General features: G+C 50.0%; 1 long non-coding RNA gene across 2 annotated transcripts, besides 1 other annotated feature; it reads left to right on the top strand.

The window, feature by feature from the left end:
* The first annotated feature begins 3,372 nt into the window (after nucleotides 1-3,372).
* On the top strand, nucleotides 3,373-9,180 carry LOC105373499 (uncharacterized). Of its 2 annotated transcripts, XR_007087146.1 has the most exons (4): nucleotides 3,373-4,502; nucleotides 7,169-7,568; nucleotides 7,783-8,060; nucleotides 9,070-9,180. It is a non-coding gene; the product is annotated as an uncharacterized LOC105373499 (long non-coding RNA). The 2 variants fall into 2 exon arrangements; XR_007087145.1 differs by lacking the exon at nucleotides 3,373-4,502 and having other exon boundaries at nucleotides 6,445-7,568.
* Nucleotides 9,759-10,615: an enhancer, noted in NCBI's record as "H3K4me1 hESC enhancer chr2:98222123-98222979 (GRCh37/hg19 assembly coordinates)". NCBI's record gives its function as "activates a minimal SCP1, AML or CMV promoter by ChIP-STARR-seq in primed H9 embryonic stem cells {active_cell/tissue: H9 hESC(primed)}" and the evidence as "EXISTENCE:reporter gene assay evidence [ECO:0000049][PMID:30033119]".

The raw sequence follows: 15,595 nt of genomic DNA, 5'->3' as shown, positions 1-15,595 counted from the left end.
CCTGCAGGCCTGGATGGTTGAAGGGGAGGGGTCCACACTGGCCCCTCATGGGATCTTCCGGAACCTGGCTGCTACTGGAGGGCAGGGTATCCAGGGTGGCCCCTCCCTAAGTAAATCTTCCCATCCTGGGAAGACCTATTCTCTGTCTGGCGATGCCTGCATTTTATGGGGACCCCAAGGCTTTCCCCTGCCATGGGGTAGTGTCTTGGAGGCGGGGCCTGCTGTCTGTAAGGGCTGGTGAGCCCCGGCCCAAGCAGGGCTAGGCAGTGCCCTGTGGCTCAGGCCTGAGTGGCATGGGCGTAGCCCGTGCTGGGAGGGAGGAATGAGACTCCCTGTGTCCCGAGGCTCTCCCTTGGAGCAGGCTCTCTCTGCTCTCTCTGTACCTCCTGCCCTGTCCTTTCTGGCTGCAGGTCCCTAGTGGCAGGAAGTTCTGGGAAGCAGTGCAGAAAGAGCACTGGACTCGGGCGTTCTCATCCAGTCTCTGTTACCAATGGGCTGTGGGATCCAGCCCCTACCTCAGTCCTCAGCCGGACATTTGCCTGTGGCCTTGTGCAGCACCTGCGGCCTTGGCAGGGTGGCTGAGGGTGGCTGAAACCCAGGTTGTGGGAGGATCTGGAAGGAGCCTGGCTCCTGTCTCCCCATGTCCATGTCAGCTCTTGGCCTGACACCAGGAGACCCTCAGGGTTGGGGGTGTCACCCCCCCTTCCTGCAGCCTCCGCATCCTCCTCCCATGCCCCACTCTGCTTTTCTGCTGGCTGGTGCAGGAGACAATGGCTGTGGGGCATGTGGGTGCACGTAGGGGGGGTCCTGCGTGGGTTGTGTGATTTTCCCGGACAGGCAGGCGTGAGAGGGAGAGGAAATTATTCTGTCTAAAACCTCAGAGATGAGTCCTTGAGAGCTGGCAGAGTGACTGCTTCCCGTCTGGGTGGGGAGGCAGGAGACAGGGTGGGCCGTTCCCAGGGGCAAGAGCAAGGCAGGGCAGGGCCAGTCCTCAGGGAGAATCCCAAGAAGGCCACAGCAGCACAAAGATAAGCCCTCATATTTCCCACGTGTCACCTGGACAAAGAGCCGTGATGCCCCCCATAACAGCCGGTCCTCACGAGAATCCAGAGAGCTCGCTAGGGAGGCAGACATTATGATAACCCAGTTTACAGATGAGGAAACGGAGGCTCTGGAGGGGTTCATTGACCTGCCTAGGTCACAGAGCCAGCCCGTTAGCGACAGAGCCAGAGCTCGAAACCCAGATCCCGAGGCACATCTTCCTCCAAAATGACCACAGAGAGGTGATGTCTCTGAAAGCAAAGCCAGGGACAGCCACCAAGGCAGACAGGGGCCGCAGTTTTGTTCAGGCAGAAAATGCCAAAGGTGCCACACTCCCACCTCACCCCCACCCGGCCTTCACTCTCAAAAGTGCAACTTTCCTGCTGGAGGAGGGGAAGGGTTGAGCTGGGAAGACATCTTCCCTCCTGTGACTCTGAGGCCCAGAGGCTGGGCTCGGCAACTCTCTGGGATTCACAGGGCGCCTCCTGCGGGACTTCTACATCTCTGCCATGACAATGTTTACCTATTTATTGCCACAGAAAAGGAGCCAGATAGCAACAGCTAGAAACTGAACCCTCCATGGACTCTCTCCCTCCTTCCCTGGCAGCATTCACCTGCACAGTGGGAAGTCCTGCAGCGATGGGCCAGGTGAAATGGAGTGGGCAGGGGCTCTTGGTGAGGTGTCATTATGGTAGTCATCCGGGCTGTTCACAGATGTTCAAGTCTCCTTTATGCCAGGCCCATGGTAGGAGTTGACTTCTCCATCCACTTCAATTCAAGCATGGCCATGTGAGTTGCTCTTACCAACAAAATGTGGGTGGAAGTGGGTGGAATGTCACTTTCAGACAGAAGCCTTAGGAGCCCTTGTGTGGGCCAGCATGTTCTCTATTCCTGTCTCTGAGATCCTGGACACACCTGTTGAGATGAAACTCTGTCAGACTGGGTCACCCAGTGACTGTGATGCCCAGAGCCCTCCTGCTGACTCAGTGGTCATACTGCATATGTCAGAAATAAACTTCGCTATTTTCATCCATTGAAACAGTGGGCTACTTGTTACCTACATAACCCAGCCTATCAGCCTCGATGCAGTCACCAAGCTAGTCAGTAAGATCCCTGCCCAGGACTTTAGAAATAGGACCTGCAACTCTCTAGAGGGCTGGGCCCATAAGGTGTAAACCTGGCTGCTGTGTTTTGAGATGCCCTGAACAGGCTAAGTGTGAGCAACAGGCTGTTTATCCACTCAGATGCAAGTGGGCTGAGTCCGAAAAGAAAGTCAGTGGAGGGTTGTGGGAGTGGAGTTAGTTTTATAGGCTTGGAGTAGGTAGTGGAAAGTTACAGTTAGGGGCAGTTTTTTCGGGCAGGGGAAGAATGTCACAAGGTGCATAGTCACGAGGTGGGGGAGGTCACAAGGCACAACATCACAAGGTGGATGGATTAGTTGGGGCAGGAACATATCACAATGGTGCAATGCTGCAAGGTCAGTTCATCAGTTAAGGCAGGAACTAGCTGTTTCTTCTTCTTTAGTGGTTCTCCTAGTGCTCCAGGCTTTGTGACTCCAGGAGGCCTGTACGTGTGGGTCACAGGGGTCACAATGGCTTGACCATGGTGCAGCCCATTCAGAGGACCTTACAGGAAGCAGGCACACAGTAAGGAGACGTGCAGAGCCCTCCCCAGGATTCTCTCCGCTGCCTAAGGTCTGGATGCATAAAAATCCTTGTGTCCCGGGAAACTCTTCCCCTTTTCTTAGACAAGCTTGGGTTGGTTTAGGTTGCACTCAACCACGCGTCCTAATCCAGAGTAAAAGGGGACATGGGAGAAGCCTCCCTCTTACAGATGAGGCACTGAGGCTCAGAGTGGCCAGGCGCCTTGTTCAAGATCATAGGGCCTTTGAGGACTAATGCTCGCCTGCTCCCTTTCTAGTGAAATAATCCAAACAGTGAAGATCCACTGTGAGTCCTCCCTCTCCCTCTCCTCTCCCACTCTCCAGAAGTAGCCACTCTTAGTAAGAGTTTGGTGGGGTTTGTATCAGACCTTTTAAAAAAGGTGTTTATCAACATATATGTATACAATATTCATACAGTTATATTGGAAAATGGGATATTGACCTCATTTTTCTGAAATTCACTTCTTTTTCACTCTTCAGATTGTCAATATTGCCAAATTCTAACTGTGCCTGGAGAATCTGGTGATGTATCTGGGAGGGAAGTGGTGATTAAGGTCGGGGCCACCTTGAGCCCTCGTGTGTCCAGACTCAAAGGACTGAGGTCAGAAAATCCTCCGGGCAGGGCTGAGACTTAGAGTCAGGGTGGACCCTTCCAGGAAGTGGTGCAGCCCCTCTGGGTGGCTGGCCCCTCTGGCTAGCTCTGACCTGGAGGAGTTCAGCCTTTGGTTTCAGTAAAATCTGCTACCCTGTGGAATCCTCCCACTGGCCTGTTATCTCCCCCTTAATTTCTGGGGCAAATTGCATTAAATGCTTTCCTTCCTCCCACAGTGGGCCAGGCAGGAGAGAGGCTGTTAGCTGCAGGCTAGGGAGTGTAGCCCCGGATTCTCACCTGGCAACCCCAGTAATGAGCACTGCAGAGACAGCCACAGACACCCTTATTGACCAGGAAGAAGTCAGGAGCCCAAAGGCAGAGAACCAAGGGCTGCGGGCCTGGAGGGAACCCAGGGAAGCCTAGACAGCCAGAGGCAGGCAGGCAATTAAAGGAGGGGGTGGAGTTTTCAATTAACAGCTCTTCTGCTAGAAGCAGGTAATTAATGGATTAGCAAGGCTGTTAGCAAGGCTGCTTGCTGCCAGTGAGGAACCTGGCAGGTGCTGCCTTGGAGAAGGAGGACCAGGCTCCAGATTCCACAGGAAGGAAAGGACTCTTCAGAGGCAGGATCCTGAGGGCAGCTGAGAGTCATGGGACTCAGCAGGGACACAGTGAGCAGGCTGGAAGGGCGGGAGGCAGGCCAGAGGGGATGGGGCAGTATAATCCCACTGTCCCCTGGCCTCGCAGGGTCCCTGGTTTGCAGAGCCCTCTTTGCCTGGGATGGGCTAAGGAGGCAGTGTATGAGAATATCTGGGGGTCATGGTGTTGACACCCCTGGAATTGGCACATTACCACACAGCTCACACGTTTTCACAGTGGTTTAGGGGGGAAGCTGCATAAGGCGGGGCTGACAGCAAGGACTTTGACATTAGACACGCTTCAGTTAAGCCTCGCTCCCACTTCCCAATCTAGGGGACTAGGGGATCCTCAGACAGCCCAGATGTTCCTCAGACTACTCAGCACCTTTCTAGTTAGGCAGGATCATGCCAAATTCTAAAGAAGCCAGTACGCACCTCCATCTGTGTCTTCCCCTGCCAGGGAGTTGGCAGAGGCCACTGTTCCAGACAGCAGAGCCTCAATCAGCCTGAATCCCTGAGCGACCTGCATGGAGCAGATTCCCTCGCCAGCCCCCATGAGTGGGAGTGAGAGGTAAACTACTGTGTTAAGTTATGAGATGTTTAGAGCTGTGTGTTACAGCAGCGTAACCAAGCCTACCCTGACTATTACACAGGGTCAACCTCACCTTTGTAAAATGGGTAAGAATGATACCACCTGGAATGATTATTGTGAGGTTGAGTGAGAGGATATATGACTTGGCTGAAGGGTACACTTAGCTCCTGGACCCCACACCCTCTCCAAAAGCAAGGAATGTTGCCATGGACCAAGAGCCAAGCCCAGGGACATTTGATTGGCCACTTCTAGCAGAAGAACTCCTGTAATGCTTAGCAAAGTGTTAAAGGGTTGAACACACAGGGGAGGGGCCTGACCTGTAATGCTTAGCAAAGTGTTTAAGGGTTGAGCACACATGGGGAGAGGATGGTGGAGGCCTGGGCTGTGCCCTCCGGAAAGGCTTGGCCAGCTCCCTCTCTCTGGCTTCTCCAGTTCTCTTTTGTCCCCAATATGGGGAGAGAGGCTGGGGGCTGCTACCCCAAGTCTTGCTGGCTGGAGCCGTGAGCATTGCTTGTGGTGGTGCTGGGCTCTGGGAGGGCTTCCCTTGGTTCTTGAAGGCCCCAGGCCATAAGTGACTCTTGTGACCCCATTAGCAGCACAACTTTCCCTCTGCCCCCTCTGTCCCATAGCAGCCCCCAGCTTTGCCTCCTGTCCTGCCACACCTGGACCCCACCATCTTTCCGTCATAAGCCTCCAGCCTGTCCCCTGAGCTGGCCCCACTTCCCTCCATTTGGGAGAAGCCGTGGAAGCTGCTGACTGTTCTCCCCTCATTTTTCAGCCTGTTCCCCACTGTTCATGTTTGGTCTACAACATCAAACCCATTTCTTTTTCAGCTGATCTCATTTCTCCTGAGTTTCTGATGCTCTGAGTCCAAAGCCTAAACAACCGTATTCTTTTCACTCTCCAAATACAAAGCCCTCTCACCCTGGCTCAGCGGTTGGCTCCCTGCTCTGAGCCAGCTCACCTGATCCTTTAGAGGAAGAATGTTCGAAGCACAGGCTTTAAAAACGTCCTTCCTAGCTTGTGCATATTCTATTTGCACTTCCCCACTCACTCAAGAAGATGCCATTTCCCCCACAAAGCTGGGAGCCTTAATGCCCTTCTCCAGCACCCATCCTGCCCACCGTGGCTGAGGTCACAGCTCTGGGCTTTGAAATGCACAAACACAATCAGAGGTCAACTCCTGTCATTTGAGGATCCCTGATTAGAAAAGAGCTTGATATACAAGCAGGGTATGTATGGAAATAAAAAAATTAGAAAAAAGAGAAATAAAACTGGACACACAGATCAGCAGGGGTTAGCGGTCTCCTTGTCACTGTCACAAACAAACCCCTGTTCTGGTTCATGCCAGCCACTGCCACCCTTACAACCAAAAGTACAGTCACTAGGCCTGTGCTGTCCAGGGCAGCAGCCACTAACCATGTGTGCCTGATGAGCACTGAAAAGGAGCTCAGAAATGTTGAGATGTGCTGTGTGTAAAATATACACTGAATTCTAAAACTGGGGATTAAAAAGAATGGGAAACACCTTCTCAATATTTTGTATATTGATGACACATTGCAATGATAGTATTTTGAATATATTGGGTTAAAATATATTATTGAAATTAATTTTACCTGTTTTTTTTCTTTCTTTTCTTTTTTTTTTTTTTACATGGAGTCTCGCTCTGTTGCCTAGGCTGGCGTGCAGTGGTGCGATCTTGGCTCACTGCAAACTCTGCCTCCCAGATTCAAGTGTTCTCCTGCCTCGCCTCCTGAGCAGCTGGGATTACAGGCACCCACCATAACTCCTGGCTAATTTTTGTATTTTTAGTGGAGACAGGGTTTCACCGTGTTGGCCAGGCTGGTCTCGAACTCCCAACCTCAAGCCATCCACCCACTCAGCCTCTCAAACTGCTGGTATTACAGGCATGAGCCACCACACCCGGCCTCTTTTTCTTTCTTAATGTGGCCACTAGAAAACTTAAGATCCCCATTGCAGTGCATGTTGTATTTCTGTCACACACCGTTGCACTGGGCACCACTCTGTCACTCCTGCCATGCAGAGTACTGCCCTTGGAATGCCGTGTTTTTGTTTCTCACTGCTGCTGTAACAAATTACCACCAGCTCAGTGGCTCAGAACAACACACATCTATTATTTTGCAGTTCTGGAGGTCAGACTCTGACCTGGGTGTCACTGGGCTACAGCCAAGGCGTCATCGGGGCTGCGTTCCTTTCTGGAGACTGTGGAGAAGAATCTCTTTCTGTGCTTCTCTGAGCTGCCCACATGCCCTGGCTCACAGCCCCCTTCCATTTCCAAAGCCAGCAATTGTTGTGAGGCTTTCTCACACTGCGCACCCTCACGCGGACTCGCCTACCTCCCTCTTGCACATCCCACCTGAATAATTCAGGATAATCTCCTGACATCGAGGTCAGCTGATTAGTGACCGTAATCCCATTTGGGCCCTTAACTTCTCCTTGCCATGTAACCTAACATATTCATGGGCTCCAGAAATTAGGACTTGTACATCTTCAGGGCCCTTCTTCAGCTGCCCACATGCCAGTGCCCCGTGCGTGTGTTTTCTTGTTCTGTGCTAACTGGCCAGCTCTTGGAAATGACTAGTGTGGGAACACTTGCTTCATTTTCTCCCTGTTCTTGATCATAGTCCAGAGATCTGCTGGGGGATGGTGTGAGCCCAAAGAAGCCGATTTCCTTCTTGAAGGGGCTGAGAAGAAGGGAGACTGTGACTTGACCAAGCCAATCGGCAAACTACCTTCCTTCCCAACAGGAGTTGATTTGTTCAGGAGGGGGCATGTGACAAAAGCTGGGCCACTCAGAGCCCATCTAAGGACTTCACTGAAATGCTGACATAAAGCAGCCACTTGTGCCACAGGGGGAAAGCCAGCCTCAAATGAAACTGTCTCGCAAAGAAATAGAGATGAATGACTTGTAGAGAACTGGAAACAGAAACAAAATGAAACTTGCAGAGAAAATATTGCAAGTAAATGTTGAACCTCTGGATCGAACCATGGCTGAGTCCCTCCTGGCTCTGACTTTTCAGTTAGGTGGGTCCACACATTCTCTTTTTCAGCCAAGCCATTTGAATGGCATTTTCTGCTATTTGCAAAATAAAGATTTGCGATGACTTAGAGAGGGGTTAAAGCCGTATTTGATCTGGACACATGAGAGTACCTGAAGCCTGTCCTCACCCAGCTGTCTCTTCCCACTGGTCTTTGAGGCACAGGTCCTAAAGGAATGCCCTGTCTCTCTTTCCCCCAGATCTCCAAGAGGACCCTCCTGCCTCTGCTTCTCTTCCTCCCCTGAAGTCAATTTTGCAGTGTGCTGGTCAGCCTCATCCAGCCCCTCTTTTCTGGGAACTGCTCTAACTCTATGGCTGGATTGACTGGCCAAGAGACAGACATCAGGGTGAGCTGGATCATCAGACAGTCTCTCCTAGGAATGTGAAATACGAATTCAGAGAGACTGGCAGCCCATTGTTCATGGGAATGCAGAAGCTGTGAGGCTGAGAAACCCCTTTCCATCCAGAGGGAAAGAAGGTATAGTGGGTGAGGGGAGAACAGCAGAGGCAGGCAACCCTGGGGCCGGGGAGCAAGGAGGAGTGGCTGCCTCTGTCTCCAAGGGCTTGCTAGCTTGAGGTCAGTTCCTTCCTGAGGTCTGACTGCTCCTCTTGCCCATTGGGTCTGAAATAAATTAATTATCACCCGCCCTTTTTCCCTATAGATGAGTTGAATCAATTTCTATCACTTGACATCAGAAGAGCCTTGAATAAGCCACACTTCCCATTCCATGCTTGCCCTAGGACCCATTGCCCCAGATGGGGAGAAGGCCAAGTGAACACCCAGCCTTCAGGAACCCTCATGGAGGCAGTTCTCTTCCCCCACTTTCTGCCAGGCAGGAGAGGCTGCTGAGGCTGCAGCAATGACCTGGGCTGCCTGGGGTTACTGAAGGCAGCAGGAAGCAGTGTTGGGTTGAGTCCCAGGTTTCCGGACTCCACACCTGGTGGCCGACGCAGCTAGCTACCTAGTCCACAGCCATTCTCCCCTTCCTCTCCCTCAAAGCCAAAGGTGGTTACACAACACAGTACAGCCCATGACAGGCATCTTCAGAGTGGGGCTTCCAGGACAGCTACTGCTTTCCTGTTGGGCCTGGTGGCTCTTCACTGTACCTTTCCCCTTCCCTATATTCCTCCCTGGGGCACAAAGTTCTGCCTGAAGGTGTAGCAGCAGGTATTTGTGACCCTGAGGATGAAGGCACCTGGTGAGGATGTCAACACAGGGAGCTGGAAGGACCCTGGTCCCCTATAGCCTCACCACAGCCCCAGCAGTGGGACCATCATGGATCCTGACCTTTGGGCTTCTCATTACTCAAGGAATAGAAAAACCCCAAACCGTGTTTGCTTAAGACCCTCTTGTCAGGTTTCTAAGTCTTTATTATTTGCAATTATAACTGATAATTTCCTATGTTCTCTGGGAATTTGGGTCATGGGTGGAGTTTTCTGGTGAGAAGAAGGGCTCAGGGACTCTCTAATTTCATCATTTTGCCCAGGGTCCAGTTTCCTCTGAAGTTTGCAAGGACACATGGAAGGTCAGCAGAAACTTGGCCATCTCAGTGTCCTGGTGGGTGATTTTTACGAGGATTTCTCATCACAGAGGATGGGAACCCAAAGGAGAATGGCTGCCATTGGAGCCTTTCCTGTCCCTCCACTGCCCAGAACAACTGAACTCTGTGTCAGTTGGGCTGCAAGTAAAGAAAACTCAACTAATGGAGGCCTCATTGAACAGGAGTTCATTTTACTCACATAACAAACCTATGTGGTCCCAGGATTGTCTCACGGCCCAGTAAAGGCAAAGCATGGCATTAGCAAGTCTGAGATGTTCTTGAATTTCCCCCCATTGCTGCAAGATGGCCCCTACAGCTCCAAACATCACATCCTCAATGGTGAATAAAGCTGATCTCCAACTGGGAAGAACTTCTGTCTCCTGGTGTGGTGAAGGCTGTTGGAGCATCTGCAGGAGCATCCAAACCCTGTGCTATTGGGGTAGTCCATGCCCTTCAAGCCAGTCATGGCTTTCCTGTTTCCTCTGTCAAATACTGGCTAAGGATAGGTCTGTGATGCAATTCTGGCCAGTGAGACATGATGGAAGAGCTGCTGGGTGAAATTCTGGGAAAAGTTCCCTTACTCTTTAAAAGATGGATCCAGGAGAAGAGAGTCTCTTTTGCTGGGTGTTGTCATATCTGGAGGTGATGCCTGGAACTGTGGCAGCTGTCTTGTGATTATGAGGGAAGCTGGCCTGAAAACAGACTGGCCCACTGAAGAGGAGGGCAGCATGGAATGTGGAATAAACCTGGGTCCCTGTTGGCTTCCTGCGGCCCTGATCTAACCAGCCCTGAGCTGTCCTACCTCTGCACTGCTTGGCACAGGAGACACATCTTGATTGTTTAAGCCCCTTTGAGTTGGGTTTTCTGTTCCTTGCAGCTGACAGCACTCTAACCAATCCACACATTTCCCTCTGCTCGATTTCCTGCTCCAGAGAGACAGGCACAGACCAGTACCGGGCAGCCCCACTCTGGGGAAAAACAACAGTGCTTATTGTTTGCCGGCACAGTGGGAGCTCTGCCTCCTGGCACAGTGGGAGCTCTGCCTCCTGTGGCAGGCTGGCCATTCCAAAACCACACTGCCTGCCACTGCCATAAAGAGGCCAGGACTGTGTTCAAAACCCCAGGCAGCAGGAGGAGTGGTTTGTGGGAGGTGTTGTGGTAGTGCATAAAGGAAGGTCATTTCCTGACCCTCAGAACCCACACTGCCCTCAGCCCCACACAGCCCTACCCAGCCCAGCATCGCCCCCAGTGCCCCTGGAGACAATAATGGCAGCCACCCACTGGCTGCTCCTGTGCGGGCAGGGCAGGAAAGCTGGTGGTTAAGTGCTGGAGAACCCCCAGGCCCTGGGGCTTGGCCGGAAAGGATTTCTGTAGAGACAGCGTGGACATTCTGTCCTCTGCAGGCCGCCTGGTACAGGATGAAAACAGGCCGGCTCAGTACTTTTTTGGCAACCGATTATATAGATTTGCATCCACATGAGCTCCCTCTTGCAATGACCCAGGCCCCCACGAGGGCTCTCCCCACAGTCATTTGTGTTGAGAACGCTCTGAGCCCTTGAGCCTCCTTCCTCTCTGGGAAAGGGACTTTTTGGCAGTGAGAAGGACCTAGAGGGAGGCACTTCTGGAGGCATTTCCTTTCCGGGAGGAAATGCTCCAGGGCTCTCCTCCATCCACCAACAGCCTCCAAGTTGAGTAAGTGGCAGCGAAGGTCACGCCTGAGCTGGCAGCCATGGAACCTCACCTCCTACTTTTCCAGCTTTGTTCCCAAAGACGTCCCTCCACGAGCTTGTGCTCATGCCATGCCTATGCTGGAAGCCCTTGCTGTCTGCAGGTGGCGATGTGACCCGGGCCTGGCCCTGGGGATTTGTTCAGGCGTGTCACTCTTTCTGACCAAAGGGGACCAGCCTTGGGGCTTTTGTGGAAACCTCTGAGAAAGGGAGGTCCACAATTCTGGTTTCCTAGCTGGAGAGAATACGCCTGGCCCTGCTGGCAACCATCTTTCCCACCCAAGGGAGTCAGCCTGGACATTTTAGTCACTTGAGTCAATAAATTCTGTTTGTAAAGAAAAAAAAATCGCTTTGAGCCGGGCTTTCTGTGGCTTACAGTGGAAACTCATTAGTAATATAAATGCAGATATCCCTCTTAGGCCAAAGTAATCTCTCCTTTCTTGCTCGCTCTATACCACACACACCTGCTTCATTGGCATTTACTGTTTCCCCACCTGCACGGGTGACCTCAGCCCCCCTGCACAAAGGCCTGGACGTCGCTGCCTCTGCAGCTGCCCCAGATCCAGGTGCCATTAATTTTACCCTCAAGTTGCGCTAAACTACTCAGTGAATTATTGTTGGTCCAATAAAACCACTTTTGTTTTATTTATTCTTTTGTCTCCACACTCACTCCCATTCCCTTCCCCTGCATGGGCAACATGCTCCCCATAGATTCCCCCACCTCCTGTGCTGCTTTAAAAATGCTCTTTCAAAAGAGATACAGTCTTTATGTGTTTTTTAATGTCTGCAAATGGTAATGTTTGGGTTCCCATGTTGCTTCTTCCTTTTTAAACTCAGTCCTGTGTTCAGGCCCATCCATGTTGCTATGTGTGCCTTTCATCTCTCCTTGTGGCTGCATAATTCTCCATGGTGTGGACCATTCCCATTTTGTCTCTCCGTTCTCCCCAGGATAGAAACCCTAGGGTGCCTCCCGCAGCCCCCATCCCCACACTACCACAAAGAACTCTGCAGTGAACATCTTGGTGTGCATGTTTGACGAATGTGTCAATTTCTTTTACATCTCTACCTGGAAATGGAATAGCAGGGGTGTAAGGGATGCATACTATTGATCAAAATCCCTCCACAATGGTGGCTCTGGTCTACACTCCACAAGCAGTGCCCTCATCAACTTCCCCACTTCCCCACCCAACATGAAGACTTCTTTTTTTTTTCTTTTTGAGGCAGGGTCTCACTTGTTGCCCTGGCTACTTAGAGGTGCGATCATAGCTCACTGCAGCCCCAAACTCCTGGGCTCATGGGATCCTCTCACCTCAGCCTCCTGAGTAGCTGGGATGACAGGCATCTGCCACTGTGCCCAGCTCCAATACTTGTCTCTTCCTAGATTAGTTTTGCCTAAAAGATTGCATTAGTTTTCTACAGCTGCAGAACAAGTTAACACAAATCGTGTGGCTTAAAACACCATTTATTTTTCATCTCCCATTTTCTGTGGGCCAGGATTCTGGGCTCGGCTTAGCTGGGTGCTCTGCTCAGACTGTAACCCGGTGTTGGCCAGGCTGCATTCTCATCAGAGGCTCCACTGGAGAAAGATCTGATTCCAGGCTGCCTCAGGTGGCTGGCAGTATTCATCTCCGAGTGGTTGTAGAACTCAAGGAGACTTGCTTCTTCAATGTCAGCAGGAGAGATAGTCTCATACCTTTACATCCTTTTTTAAAGGGCTCACCTGATTAGATGCACCCTGGATGATGTCCTTTTTCATTAACATAAAGTCAACTGATCAGGGACTTTAATTACATTGGCAAATTCTTTTCCCCTTTTCCATATGGCACATCATCACCTTTGTTAGAATCTATTAATTAGAAGCACATTTACCAGGAGAGGATTACAGAAGTGCTTGCCTATTGGAGTTCAGCTGAGAATTTTGCCTACCATGTATGTATAAGGTTGTATCTAGTTCAAATTGTAGTAAAGCACACAGAACATAAAGTTTCCCATCTTAACCACTGTTAATTGTACACTTTAGTGGTATCAAATACTTTCACATTGTTGTGCAACCATTACCACCATCCATCTCAAGAACTCTACTTTTGTGAAACTGAAACACTGTGTCCAATTAGATACTAACTTCCCATTCCGTTTTTGCCCCAGCCCTTGGCAATCATTCTATTTTCTGTTTCTATGAATTTGATTATTCTAGGTATCACATGTAAGTGGAATACTGTCTTTTTGTGACTGGCTATTCCACTTAGCATAATGCCCTCAAGGTTCATCCACGATGTAGCCTGTCACAGGATTCTCTCCCTTTCTAAGGCTGAATCATATTTTATTGCATGTATAGACCACATTTTGTTCATGCATTCGTCTATCAATGGACACTTGCTTCCACTTTTTGGTTCCTATGAATGCTGCTGCTATGAACTTGGATATACAATATCTCTTTAACATCCTGCTTTCAATCCTTTTGGGAATACGTCCAGAAGTGGAAATTCTTGGTCATACGGTAATTCTATTTGAATTTTTTTTTAGGAATGGCCATGTTGTTGTCCACAGTGGCGGCACCATTTTACATACCCACCGGTAGTGCACAAGGGTCTAATGTCTCACTCCTCACCAACACTCGGTATTTTCGGGTTTTCTTGACAGTAGCTATTCTAGTGGGTATGAAGTGCTATCTCACTGTAGTTTTCATCTGCATTTCCCTTATTCTGGGTGATTCTCAGCACCTTTTTTTGTGCTCATTGACCATCTGTGTATCTTTTTTGGAGAACTATTTCCTCATATATCTTATTGTTAGAATGTGTATTTCTGTACTAATGATCTTAGCCACTTCCTCATATGCTTCCTGGCTTTTGGGGTTTCCTCTCCCAAAAACTGCCTGCTCGTGTCCTTTGTCTATTTATTTTTCTTGTTAATTTTCAGGAGTTCCTCGTATATTGAGGCTGCTAATCTCTTGTCAGTTTTAGACTGCACATAACTTCTCTCATTTTGCCATGTGTCACTTGCAACAGATCTATTTGATTGTAACATCATGAAATCCCCTCCACTTTTTCTGCCTTATGGTTTCTGCTTTGAAATTTTGTCTAAGAAATCTTTTACTCCTTTTGGTAAGTTCCCCTGTGTGTTTTGTTTTCTAACATGTTATAATCTGGCCATTCATGGTGGTCATCATGAAAAGCAATCCCATATAAGGTGGATGCTCAGATTATGGATTAAAGAATCAATTAGTCACTTCCAAGATGGCCAAGTAGGAACAGCTCCGTTCTGCAGCTTCCAGTGAGATTGACACAGAAGATGGGTGATTTCTGCATTTCCAACTGAGGTTCCTGGTTCATCTCACTGGGACTTGTTGGACAGTGGGTGCAGCCCATGGAGGGTGAGCCGAAGCAGGGCGGGGCATTGCCTCACCTGGGAAGTGCAAGAGGTCAGGGGATTTCCCTTTCCTAGCCAAGGGAAGCCGTGACAGACTGTACCTGGAAAAACGGTACACTTCTGCCCAAATACTGCACTTTTCCCATGGTCTTAGCAACCAGCAGACCAGAAAATTCCCTCCCGTGCCTGGCTCAGTGAGTCCCATGCCCATGGTCCTTTGCTCTCTGCTAGCGCGGCAGTCTGAGATCGACCTGCGAGGTGGCAGCCTTGTGGGAGGTGGTGGAGGGGCGTCTGCCATTGCCGAGGCTTGAGTAGGTAAACAAAGCTGCCAGGAAGCTTGAACTGGGTGGAGCCCACTGCAGCTCAGCAAGGCCTACTACCTTTATAGACTCAACCTCTGTGGGCAGGGCATAGCTGAACAAAAGGCATCAGACAACTTCTGCAGACTTAAAACGTCCCTGTCTGACAGCTCTGAAGAGAGCAGTGGTTCTCCCAGCATGGCGTTCGAGCTCTGAGAACAGACAGACTACCTCCTCAAGTGGGTCCCTGATCCCTGTGTAGCCTGACTGGGAGACACCTCCCAGTAGGAGCCAACAGACACCTCACACAGGCAGGTGCCGCTCTGGGATGATGCTTCCAGAGGAAGGATCAGGCAGCAATATTTGCTGTTCTGCAGCCTCCCCTTGTGATACCCAGGCAAACAGGTCTGGAGTGGACCTCCAGCAAACTCCAAAAGACCTGCAGCTGAGGGTCCTGACTGTTAGAAGGAAAACTAACAAACAGAAAAGAATAGCATCAACATCAACAAAAAGGACATCCACACCAAAACCCCATCTGTAGGTCACCAACATCAAAGACCAAAGGTAGATAAAACAACAAACATGGAGAGAAACCAGAGCAGGAAAGCTGAAAATTCCAAAAATCAGAGCGCCTCTTCTCCAAAGGATCGCAGCTGCTCACCAGCAACGGAACAAAACTGGACAGAGAATGACTTTAATGAGTTGACAGAAGTAGGCTTCAGAAGGTAGGTAGTAACAAACTTCTCTGAGCTGAAGAATATTCTAACCCATTGCAAAGAAGCTAAAAACCTTGAAAAGATTTTTAAGGTTTGTCTTAATCTAACCTTGATTAGACAAATGGCTAACTAGAATAAACAGTGTAGAGAAGACCTTAAATGACCTGATGGAGCTGAAAAGCAGGGCATGAGAACTTCATGACACATGCACAAGCTTCAGTAGCCAATTCGATCAAGTGGAAGAAAGGGTATCAGTGATTGAAGATGAGTTGAATGAAATGAAGTGAGAAGAGTCTAGAGAAAAAAGACTAAAAAGAAATGAACAAAGCCTCCAAGAAATATGGGACTAGTGAAAAGACCAAAT

Source organism: Homo sapiens, chromosome 2, assembly GCF_000001405.40.
Source record: "Homo sapiens chromosome 2, GRCh38.p14 Primary Assembly".
In the NCBI taxonomy this organism is placed as follows: Eukaryota; Metazoa; Chordata; class Mammalia; order Primates; family Hominidae; genus Homo; species Homo sapiens.
Note: the sequence above shows the minus strand (reverse complement) of the source record. Positions and strands in the feature narration are given on the sequence as shown.